Raw genomic sequence first — 11,846 nt, 5'->3', positions numbered from 1 at the left:
AGCCAAGCCCTCCGCACAAGGCCAGGTGTCCCCTGGAACACTCAAGGAAGGGGCATTGTTTATTGACTTTTTGGAATTAGAAGTGTAACCCCCTCTCTCTCCAGTTTAAGACACACCCTAGCTGTCTGCTGGAGGCTGGCCAAGGCGCCTACTACCACCCTGAGCAACTCCCCTCCACGGGCCTTGGACACATGAGGAGGGCGGTCTCCTGAAGCTCATGGCTCCAGACAAAGTGGACCATCACTGAACCTGGCCCATGTCCCACAGAGTGAACTGGCCCTAAGGGTCCCAGAGCTCCTATAATCCTCCTTCCCTCCCTCCCTCTCTCTCTTCCTCAAGAACACCGGGGAAAATGTGAGAGCCTTTTCAAAGCTGGATCACTACGAAAATTATCTTTGTGCAGTGTTCTAGAGGCATGCCTCTACCTTTCAAGACAATATTTGCAAAGACTCAGAAGGTTGCTGTAGTTAATAAAAATATTTTTTACTTTACTAATCAAAATTAGTTTGCAAAATCTTGCTTCATTTAAGATTTAAAATCTTAATCTTAAGTTTGATTTGCTTAAATGTTAATTTTGATTTGTTTAAATGTCTGCTTAACAGTTAAATTTTGAGGTGAGATTAACAAATTAGTAATTAGAAAGAAAACACTGCTCACATTCTGTTACTAAATGTTAAACTCACACAAAATTTTTAATCTTCCAGACCTAGTGCAATGAAGAAATGGTGAAAACACTTGTTACATATTTCCTGGGAACAGAAATACATGGCTGGATGTTTTCCAAATATTCAAAGCCTCTCTCAGTCACCAAGGGAACTGGCTTATGCTGACAGCATTTGGGACAAACTGCAGGTGGGTAATATAAATATAAGCAGGCAGATATCACCAGGACACTCCACATCCTGACTGTGTCAACCTGACCCAATGCTAGGAAGAGAGTTCTCTCAAACCCCCACCAGCTTCCACATTTATTGTTAAGAAAGGTCAGCATGAAATATTCTCAGAGATTATTAGGCAAATAATTGGATTTTTGTCAAACAGAAGCCTTATTGCGTTGGGGTGACAGCATGCCTGACTCACAACACAAAAATTCAGAATTGATGGCAAGTGGGTTCTTGTTGGACTCAATTTGCAAATGTTCCCTGAGGGGATGCTCAGATCAGGGTGGGTGCATTGGGCATCCTGCCAGCGGCTATTCGGGAGCAGGACGGGGTCTGGCCCGGCCAGGCCTCAGGGGGCTGCAGATTCCCACTTCTCATGGTCCTCCCCCACTCCCCAACTACCTTGTTTTTTGTTTTTGTTTTTTTAGACTGAGTCTTGCTCTATCACCCAGGCTGGAGTGCAGTGGCGCAATCTCAGCTCACTGCAACCTCTGCCTCCCGGGTTCAAGCGATTCCCCTGCCTCAGCCTCCCAAGTAGCTGGGATTACAGGCACCCACCACCATGCCCAGCTAATTTTTGTATTTGTAGTAGAGATGGGGTTTCACCATGTTGGCCAGGCTGGTCTCGAACTCCTGACCTCAAGTGATCTGCCTGCCTCAGCCTCCCAGGGTGCTGGGATTACAGGTGTGAGCCACTGCGCCCAGCCCCTTGTTTTTAAATTCTGCTTAAACACAGCTCATAGGGTGGTGTCATGTTACTTGCCCGTCACCCAGCAAAAACATCCCACAAATGACAAGTAAGAAAACTTTTGTTACCAAAAGAATGGCAAAGAAATAATAATTCTGACCTTTGCAAATTGTTGAGGAAATAACTCATCATTTTTCAAATTACTGGATTGTTAGTGCTATGCTGTGAGAAACTTTTGTGAAAATTCCAGCCATCAGGAATGACTTCAGGACCTGCTCCATCTCACAACAGACGAGCTCCTACAGCCTGCTTGTTAGGGATGCGTGAGAGGAACATGTTTCCTTCATATGTTCTTCCTTATATCATGGCCTTCAGTGGTGGGTGCAGGGAACTGTGTTTGGAAAGACTTTAAGTTGTTTTGATGTCATCTTTTGAAAATGAAAGGGGGAAATTTTCTCCCAGGAGCCACCAGACCTGACCCAGCACCCGCATGGAGTGTCTGGCACAGCCCCACCCTCGTCCCTCCTCCGTCCTCCATTCCTGCCCCTCCTTCCTTCACGTGTCCTCCCTCCCACAGAGATCAGCCCCAGCTGAAGCATGCAGCCTCTGCCATTCACACCTCCTTCCACCCCTGGAGCAAGGGTGCCGCCTGCCTGGGCTCCCTCTGCCTGGCTGGAACCTGCCTATGGCCCAGGGAGCAACCATCAGGAAAAACCCTCAGACAGCCCCATCACTGTCTATTAACTCATCTTCAAGTCTTCAAAATGTCCCGTCTCTACTCCTCCCCCACCCCACCCTTTTTTTGTTGTTGTTGTTTTTTTTTTTTTTTTTTTTTTTGAGACAAGATCTGGCTCTTGAGGAGAGCAAAGATCGCCTGGTGGGCATCAAGCAGGCCATCCAGAGACAGCACTCCTTATCTGAGAAATTCAGAAGCCGTTAGGCTTCCCTATTATCTAAAGCCAGCATCTGGTTCCAAGCCTCTTTCCAACAAGTCATCAGTAACTAGGGTTTCTATACATCTCTGGAACGCATGCATGTTGAAACTCACTGGGCATCCCTTGCTGACGTCAGGGCAACAGAACCTCTAAAGATGTAGTCATTTATCACGACCTCCGTGGCTAGTGTGGCCCAAATTACCCTCAGTTTATCATGACCTCCATGGCTAGTGTGGCCCAAATTGCCCTCAGCTCCTGCTTTAAGGTCCATAAATGCCCCTAAGAAAAATCGACCATCACACGCTCCGTCCCCTCACTGAGACACTCACTGCACTCCTCTGCAGCGTTCTTTTTCTCCTTTTTCAAACCTATGCCATTGTCCATAAATTCTTCTTACTACCTACCACCCGTGAGCTGACTGTTTTTCTGATGCTGGGGCTCTGACACCTCTCCTGGCAGCTCTGTCGCCCAACCTGGAGTGCAGTGACAGACACCTCAGCCTCCCGAGTAGCTGGGTCTACAGGTGTGAGCCACCACGCCCTGCTAATTTTTGTATTTTTTTTTTTTTGTAGAGATGGGGTCTCACCATGTTTACCAGGCTGGTCTCAAACTCCTGGGCTCAAGCAATCCATCTGCCTCCGCCTCCCAAGTGCTGAGATTACAGGCGTGAGCCTCCACACCCAGCCAATTCCTCCCTCCCTAACTCTTACTCACAGGGACAAACACCCTTGGTAGCTAAAAGTACAACATCCTACTCCCATTTTTCTAATAGGCTTTATTTTTTTGAGCAGTTTTAGGTTCACAGAAAAAATTGTGCAGAAAGTACAGCGTTCCCATGTACCCCTCTCCACACCCCAATTTCCCTTATTCTTGACATCCTGTGTGGCTATAGCACAGCTGTCCTCACTGGTGAGCTGACAGTGGGATGCGGTTGCTGACTGAAGTCCTCAGTACACACTGGGGCTCAGTCTCCGTGTGCGCATCCCTGGGTTCCAACAAACATGCGATGACACATCTCTACAATGACCATGTCATAGACAAGAGTTCCACTGCCCTAAAAATCCTCTCTCCTCCACCTATGCATCCTTTCGTCTCCCCAGGTCCCGGCAACCACTGATCTTTTCCCTATTTCCATCTTTTCGCTTTTTCTAGAACGTCACGTCCTTGGAATCATGCTGTTGGAAGCATTTTCAGGCCGGCTTCCTTCACTGAGTGGGCCCTGCCTGGAAGGCTCCTCCACACCTTCCCGTGCTCCGTGGCTCCGCCCCTTCAGCTGCTGCACAGCACCCCATTTTTTTGGGGTCCCACGGTTTATCCATTCACCCCCTGAAGGGCATCAGGGTTGCTTGCAAGTTTGACAATAATGCATAAAGCTGCTATAAACAGCCACATGAAGGTTTTGCTGGATCTAAGTGTTCATTTCCTTGGGGTAAATACCAAGGAGTGTGATTACTGGATCCTGTGGTCAGAGTACGTTTAGTCTCGTGAGATGCTGCCAAACTGTCTTCCAAAGTGGCTGTGCCATTTTGCCTTCCCACCAGCAATGAGTGAGAGTTCCTGTAGCTGCCCTTTAAAAAGCAAGACACCAAAAACAAAGAAAAAAATCTCTTCACAACTGTTCCATTTAAGAGAAAACTCACATGGTGAGGCATGGCAGCCAAGGCCAGTGTCGGGAACATGGATTTCAGGCGGGTGTGGTCCAAAGACAAAGCTGACGTTCAGAGAAGGGCAATGGGAGCCTTTTAAAGCAACAAAATACAACACACCTGGGGCCAAATTTTACTGCAGGAGCGCTCCCCGAGGAGAAACTGACACAGGTGCTTTGGGGCGAGTTACTCAAGAAGCTGCTAGAGACCAGATGACTGACAGTGAGAGGCTGCACCTCTCCTGGCCGCAGCAGGTATGAAGAGCCAGGCTGCTGGCTCCTGGTCCTAAAGCTCTGCTCCGTTTGCAGCCAGAAATCAAACACAGGGAAACCACCTTGTTTCCTAGAATTAAAACATTTACTTTTCAGCAAGGTTGTTTTCATTTTTTTTTTGTTAATCCTTATTATACAAATAACTATTTGTTTTTAAAAATCAACAAGCAAAAAAAAAAAAAAACAAAAACAAAAAAAACCTGGACATCTTACTCCTTTTGATGTATTTTAATATATTTCCCTCCAGACACTTTTCTCTGTAAATATTAAAACATGGTTTTTTCAAATTGTCTTCCTTGTCTTCTCCATTAAAATTTGAAGTGATATCCTTGTCCTCCTCCTCTTCCTCTTCCCCAGGCATAAAATTTTTTATCTTTTTCTAGGGAGAAAGAAGCATTAAACTCCCAATCCGAACAGTCAAGAGCCATTTGCTGTTTTATTATACAAATGTCACATAAAACGTCCCCTCACGCCAGGGAACCACGTCTCCAGGTGGGTGGCATCACGGCAGCACCAGCAGCTGTCATTCTAGCACCTTCTGGACACATGAGGATTGACGAGTTGTGTGTCCTGTAAGTTAGACCAGGCAGGGCCATTGCTGCCGAGTCGTTGTGACACTGAAGAGGCTCCTGAGTTAAATCCCAATTCGCTCTCTCCATCAAGTCGCTGCTGCCATGTGTGATAACTCTGCGTACACTGACACACTTATGTACTGGACATCAGCAATACCTGTTATTTCAACACCCTTTTCACAAAGTAACCTCGTAATACTCACATGCACGTCATTTTGTGGCAATGCAGAGAATAAAGAGGTCTACAAGGGAAAGAGGCAACGCTGAGATGTGATTCAAAGATGAGATCACAGCCAGCTCCAAACAGCAGGCAGGCTGTCATCCGGGGCTATGTGGAGGACCAAGTCCATCTCCACAGAGCACAGGACCAGACGCAATGACTGAGCAAGGGCCCCATGGAGATCAGAGTGGACCAAGAGTGGGCTCACTGCCTGGGTGAAAGGTGTGACGAAGAGGCTGCTTCCAGACTACCCGGGCAGGTGAATACAGAAGTCGTCACCTGTCTGCTACCAGCTTATAAATAAACAAAAAGCAAAAATCACCCAGGGCAGATACACAACACCCAGGCACCACAACATCAAGCCCGTCTTAGTTTCTGGCTCCTGCTGGTCTGTGACCTCTTGATTCAACCCTCGAGCTCTTTGCCACCCAGTTGTCCTTATTGTGCAAGTGTGTGGATGGCATGAACCACCTTCATTTAAATGGTGCATTGCTCTGTTCCTGCTGGAGTGCAGAAGGAAGAGGAGGAGAAGGGAATTAAATCCACGTAGGAGCTACTTCCCCTAAGGCAAGGTGCCAGGTGCGCTGACATGACTGAATGGAGTGGGAGGACTCTACCTGAGCTGCTGTATTTGATCTGGGCCCTGATACATGAATTATTCATTCCGCCAAGAACTCTCCAGTGCCAGCAGCTCTTGGAGGTGCTTGGGTTTCAGCAGTAAACAAAACAGATAAAAAATATCTGCCCTGCTGGCACTTAAATTCTAACTGGGGGAGGCTGTCAAAATGAATGGCTAAATAGTATTATATGCTGGAAGATCAGCACTGAAGGAAAACTGGGAACATATGAGGCCTGGGGCAGGGGGAGGAAGGGGAAGGAGAAATCCAAACCAGGACGGTAGAGAAACGCCCCGAGCCCTGATGCTGGGCGGCCTGGAACCTGGTTCCCCAGAGTCTCAGAACACAGCCAAGGCTGGGTTCTGGGAGCTCAGCCTCAGGGGTCAGGAATGACGCCCTCTCTCCCTCTCTTTGCTCTCTCTCAGCCCCCAGCGTGCCTGGGGCCTCTGCACTTGCTGGTCCTCAATTTGGGACCCCCGACTTCCCCCTAAATATCCAAGAGGCCTCCTCCCTCGTTCCTAAAGGTGTCTGCCCAAATGTCACCCTCAGACGGGGCAAATCGCCCTGGGCCAGTGAAGCTTCAACTGCCCTCCTGGGCGGTGGTCTGGTTTTGCACGGTGATAACATCCATCCCTTCCTAGAGCTCCACCGCCGCGTCGTCTTCCCGCTCTCGGGGCTGGAACTGTCCCATCACCCATGCAAACCCCAGGACCATCCCCTCCCCGCCACTGTGCCCCAGGGCAGGTCTCCCCTCCGCGCTCCGCACTGCCCGCCCCGGGTCCACCGCATCCACCGACAACGCAGGCAGCGATGGCTTCAAATGCATGCCGCCGTTCCGAGTGTGCTGTCCAGGCCGTGAGGTCCGGGGAGAAACCCGGCAGCGGGGTCGCCAGCAGCCTGCAAGGCGCCGAACCCGGTGCGTCCGCGCAGGGAGCGGCCCGTCTGGGGTGGGTGGCGCGATCGCCTCTGCAAGGCTGGGATGCTGCAGCCCTGGGCCGGGCAATCGGGGGACGTGTGACCCGGGGATGGAGCGACCCTCCGGACTGGGCGACCCCTGGGACAGGCAACTCTGGGGCCGTGTGACCTCCAGGACGGTTCGACCCCCGAGACCCTGCACGGCCCGCGCTCCTGCCGGGGAGGGTCGGCTGGGCGGGGAGGGGGCGGGCGGCGCCGGCCAATCCGGACCCCGGGCCGCGTCACCCTCCGGGGTCACCGCTGCCTCCCCACGTGGTCCCACCCGGAGGGCACAAGAGCGGCGGCCGCTTCTACACCGCCGGCGGGACCACGGCCCGGAGCCTTGAGCCGGACGACGAGCCGGACCTCGGCCCCCGGAAGGTGAGCGCGTGGGTCTCCGCGGGCGGGGTGCGCCCTTCTCCAGCCGCCGCCACCAGATGAGGGGACCCCGGAGGCGGGGAGTGGCGCTAACTGTCGAGTTTCAGGGGTTGCACCCCAGGGCCCAGAGCGCAGGGCCCAGGCGGCTTCCGCTGTCGTCCCCTCGGGGTTTCCAGGACTGAGGCGGGTCTAGGAGGACCCGCCGGCCCATGGGGGTCCCTGCCCCGGGCTAAGTGCACCCTGCCTGCCTTCTGGAAGGAGCCCTGGCCCTACCCCCCCGCCCCCACTTCCCCCTCACCTCCTCCCACCTCCTCCCTACCTCCCGCTATTTCCCCCATCTCTCCCCACCTCCCCTCCAGTCCAACACCCCCCCCTTCCCCTGTCCCCTCCCCTAGCCTCCTGTCTGCCCTCCCCGCGGCTCTGCGCTCAGAAGCAGATGCTGGCTAAGGGAATCGGAAGCTCTGCCTGCCTTTACGCCCTTCCCCACCCCACCCTCACCCTGGTGTGGGCTGGAATTTGGTTTTTGGAGCGTGTTTCTAGAGGGCTTTGGACCCTAAAAGGTGCCCACACAGGCCTGGAGGATCCTGGAGTCAGGCTCTGCTCCTGCCTTCTACAAACCAAGTTTTCTCCTCTCCCAGCGGCAGTCCTAGCTGTGGCTGCTTCCAGAGCCAAAAGGCTGGCACCCGAGATGAGGTACCGCCAGTGCTCGGAGCAGGAGGTGCAGACCCTGGCCAGGGTGCAGGTTTGAGTGATTTGTGTGCTGCAGGGGCAGGAACAGACATCAGGTCACAAAATGACATCTAAGCATTTAATTACCAAAGTGAAGACATCCTCACCTTTGTTCCATGAGGTCGTCCAAAGCTCCCCCTTTCTCCCGTCTTTGAAAGTAAGGCTGGCGTAGGAGGTGAGCGAACGTGGGAGCAGGACCTCCAGAAGGGTCTGGAAGGGTCCGGAAGGGTCTGGAAGAGCCTAGGTGGTGATGTTTCCTGAGTAGACTGAGCAGGGGTGGTGGGGAAGGGGCGCCGTCGCTGGGTGGCCCTAAATCTCGTCTCCCCCGACCCATGCCGCCTCTCCCCACCCATGCCTCTTCAGAACTTCAGCCCTCCTCTGTGGGACCTCCCCGCCCCAGCCCCACCTCCCCCACCCCCTGCCCCATTAAGTATTAAGGAAAAGACGACTGAAAACCAAAGTGGGCTGTGCCTTCACCTACCCTATGTGCTCCCGCGGGCCAGGGCAGGTGTAGTCTGTCTTTCTGCAGAAAGAGGCAGACAGAACGGGAGCTGGGGAGGAGCCGTCCCCAGCACCAGCCACTCCAGGTGGGGCGGGGAGTGCAGCCTGGTTGGCCGGGGGCACAGGGGGCTCTGTTAGTCGTCCCCCACTCAGCATCATTTGTGTCTCCTTTATCCCCCGTGGGCTTTAGAAGGTTTCTCTGGTGCCCAGGATTGCAGCACAAGAGGTCACCAGGCACCCCGGGCTTGGTCACACAATGGGGAGGCCTCTTGAGACTCAGGGTGCATTACAGGGCCCCTTCCAGTCTCTGGGCATGGCTAGAATGGCCTGGTGGGCTTGTATGAGCTCCACAGTTGGGAACACATACCCCGGAGGTGAGCAGGGGGTCCAGACCCATGGAGAAGTTTCCAGAGACAGCCGAGTGGTCATTGGGGTGCCAGTTATCCAGGATTCTGGCCTGGCGCCTGTCAGACCCCTTCAGATATGAACTTGAACTTGAACTCAGGAAACCTTAGGCCCCGAGAAGACTAAGGAAGTCAGGAACCTGAGGACCGCAGGGTGTTCTCTGCAGGATGCAGCAGGAAATGTCTCCCCGAAAGCCAGGCCAGGCGGGGCCGCCTGCCACGGAGATCCAGTTTAGCCAGGACGTATCGGCTCTGCATTGACTGTCTTTGGTGAAGTTCCTCCGCTGAGACCCCACAGCTCCTCCTAAGCACCTGGAGAGCGGCTGCATCTCATTTCTTCTGGAGAGGGGGATTCCCAGACTCAGCCTCACAGATCACTGCTTTCCCGGCGAGGAGGTCTGTTCGGCCCCTGCTAAGGGAGGGGCTTCGGCCTTGCAGGGGTTCAGTCACTTCCTGCAAGTACAGCGACTGCCTCGCATAGCTAAGGAGGCACTAGAGCTGGTCTGCTTATCCACGCTGTCACTCGGGGCTTCTAAGCTTTTAAAGTCGGTGTTGGGAGAGGTGGCAGGGCAAGGTTGTTTACAATGCAGATTTTGTCTGATGTTTCACAATTTTGTTTGTTGTTTTAGAAGCAATAGGGTCATTTTCTTGACATGTACAAGGTGTCTGTTTGGAAGGCTCAGTATTCTAAAAGTACAGTGGCTTCCCAAGGACACAAACTTCCCCACCCAGAGTCACTGCCTTGAGCTTTGTCCGAAGCATCTTCACTGAGATGCAGACCAGGGTTTTGGATTTGATGGGAATTTTACCTTCAGTTTTGAAAACGGCTGTATTTTGAACAGGCTCAGGTCTCCCCTCCTCATAGGTGGACCCCAGGCCTGTCTTGCCTGGGGACAATCTCAGGTGGTGCCTGTCCCAGTGCAGCCATCACTGCAGCCACGGTCACCCTGCCTGGGCTGCTCTCCCGTCCCCTTGAGCATGTGGGCGAGGCACCAGGCCAGGGGCAGCGGGGGCTCTTGCTGTTGCTGCTGGCGGGGTCAGTGAGACCTCACCTCTCCTAGGGTCCCTCCGGGAACATTTGGAGGAGCACCAGGTGACAATGGCCATGGCCCCAGGTGGAATGGTGCTGGGGGTCCCATCAAACATCAGGAGTCCTGTCGGTGTCGCCTGGGCTGGGAACACCCATGAGTTCAGCACAGGATCTGCCTGGGCCCCGGTCACCAAGGCTGGTGGGGGGTCATTATCCACGGGAGAGGTGTTGCCAGCCCCACACTTATCACCCAGGGTGCCAGAAGCTGAGGGCCCACAAGGCTGAGGGCCGGCCGGGTGGGCTCCTTCAGTCCACGTGGCCTACAGGGTGCAGCCCCTGCCCCAGGCAGGCATTCCTGCTCCTCCTAGCCATGACTAGAGCCGGTGGCTCACCCAGACCCTGTCTCTCTTCCATCCCAACCCCACCCGGGGAGGAAGAGCAGGCCTAGGCTCGGTGGGGGGAGTGTGGGAGGGAGAGCAGGCCTAGGCTCGGTGGGGGGAGTGCCACTTGGAAGGCACCACTGAGGCTGGAAGGTCACTTCTTTCTTTGAACAAATATTTATAGAGCCAGGGCGGGCAGTGAGCAGGAGCGCGCCATCTCTGCTTGCGTCTCCTGCCAACTGCTGCCCGGTGGGCAGGCAGCCTGCAGCAGATTATCGCGGGCATGAGTGACACGGCACCGGCGCCAGGTGCTCTGGGAAGCATGTGGAACCATTTGCCTTTCAAGGTCAGACATTCAAATGACAATGGGACCTGCTGATAAACCCCTCCTAAGCCAAACATATTCCAAGTGCAGAAATGCATTTGATTCCCTGATAAACCCATTGTCAAGTCCAAATTTCCTAAGTGGAACAATTAGTCAGAGTCCATCTGTGTTTATGGAGTGGTGGCTGCCTGCTGGGGTGTCCTGGGCCCGGGACGGTGAGCACAGCACACGGTGGCAGACGGACTGGGGGTGGACAGCGGAGGGGCCCGGGCCCAGTCGGAGACTTCCAAATAGGCCATTGCCTCTCTTGATGTGTTCAAGACCCCTGGGGCAGCAGATGGGAGGGAGGGCACAGTCAAAAGAGGGAGAGGCTGCTGTGTCTGCAGCCCAGCAGGAGAGCCGGGGACAGCAGAGACCCAGGGTGGACAGTGGAACTGGCCAGGGAGGGCTTTGCTGCAAGGGAGGGTGGTCTTGCCCCCGTTGGGCTCCATGTTCTGGAGAGGGCAGAGGTGCAGGCACCTCCCCCATGCTCTCCACTGGGTGCCCCCAACCAAGCCTCAGGAGCCCACCTGGCCCCACCTGTCCCGTCAGCGGGGCTAGGGCTGCCTGGTGCAGGGCTGTGTGCCCCACCAATGACCCACGGCCATCCATTGGTGCATCATGGAGGTGTGCGCTGGTCAGCACTGGCTGCCAAAATGTCACATCCCAAGCCAGCACCGTGCATGGTGTTGTGCAGGGAAGGTGGCCTGGCGGCCTCGCACTTCCTACCGTGGACACACTGGGGCATGGTGTCCCAGTCGCAGTGTGAGCTGTGTTATAATGGTGGTGATTGAACACACGGAGCAGCCGGTGGAGTGTGGCCAGGTGCTCTGGGCTCAGCAGGCTGAGCTGGGCTCTGGCCTCGGCTCACAGAGGTGTTGGGACGCTGGGCAGTGTGCAAGAACCTTGCAGGTTACAGCAGGAATTAGGAAGAGGTGACAGTAAAGCACCTGTCCCAGCTCTGCCCCACATAGGAGATGCAAAATACATGGAAATGGAGCCTCTTCCGGGGTCTTACCTGTGTGGGACCCCCCACCCCCCACTCTCCAGGGAGCTTCCCCAACCCCCGCACAGGTGCCAAGGCAATTGTCACTGGCGCTGAACTCACAGGATGAATCTTCCTCTTGCTGCCTTTGTGCCCCTAGGCCTTCTGTGCCCCAGAGTCAATGCACAATTTTGTTTTGTGAGTGAACGAGTCAGAGATGGGCTAGGTCCTAGCCTCCACCCAGCAGCATACACTCAAAAGCCGCGCCCCCTCCATCCCTCGACCAGCCT

General features: G+C 54.2%; 1 long non-coding RNA gene across 2 annotated transcripts, besides 2 other annotated features; it reads right to left on the bottom strand.

The window, feature by feature from the left end:
- Positions 1,644-2,631: an enhancer, noted in NCBI's record as "H3K4me1 hESC enhancer chr6:168506640-168507627 (GRCh37/hg19 assembly coordinates)". NCBI's record gives its function as "activates a minimal SCP1, AML or CMV promoter by ChIP-STARR-seq in primed H9 embryonic stem cells {active_cell/tissue: H9 hESC(primed)}" and the evidence as "EXISTENCE:reporter gene assay evidence [ECO:0000049][PMID:30033119]".
- LOC107986548 (uncharacterized) lies at positions 7,667-9,287 on the bottom strand. 2 transcript variants are annotated; one of them, XR_001743902.2, is made up of 3 exons: positions 8,761-9,287; positions 8,374-8,415; positions 7,667-8,158 (listed from the first exon to the last, which is right to left on the bottom strand). It is a non-coding gene; the product is annotated as an uncharacterized LOC107986548 (long non-coding RNA). The 2 variants fall into 2 exon arrangements; XR_001743903.2 differs by having other exon boundaries at positions 7,667-8,132.
- Positions 8,859-9,360: an enhancer, noted in NCBI's record as "H3K4me1 hESC enhancer chr6:168499911-168500412 (GRCh37/hg19 assembly coordinates)". NCBI's record gives its function as "activates a minimal SCP1, AML or CMV promoter by ChIP-STARR-seq in naive H9 embryonic stem cells {active_cell/tissue: H9 hESC(naive)}" and the evidence as "EXISTENCE:reporter gene assay evidence [ECO:0000049][PMID:30033119]".

Source organism: Homo sapiens, chromosome 6 (genome assembly GCF_000001405.40).
Source record: "Homo sapiens chromosome 6, GRCh38.p14 Primary Assembly".
Classification (NCBI taxonomy): Eukaryota; Metazoa; Chordata; class Mammalia; order Primates; family Hominidae; genus Homo; species Homo sapiens.
This window is presented reverse-complemented; position numbering and strand designations above follow the sequence as displayed.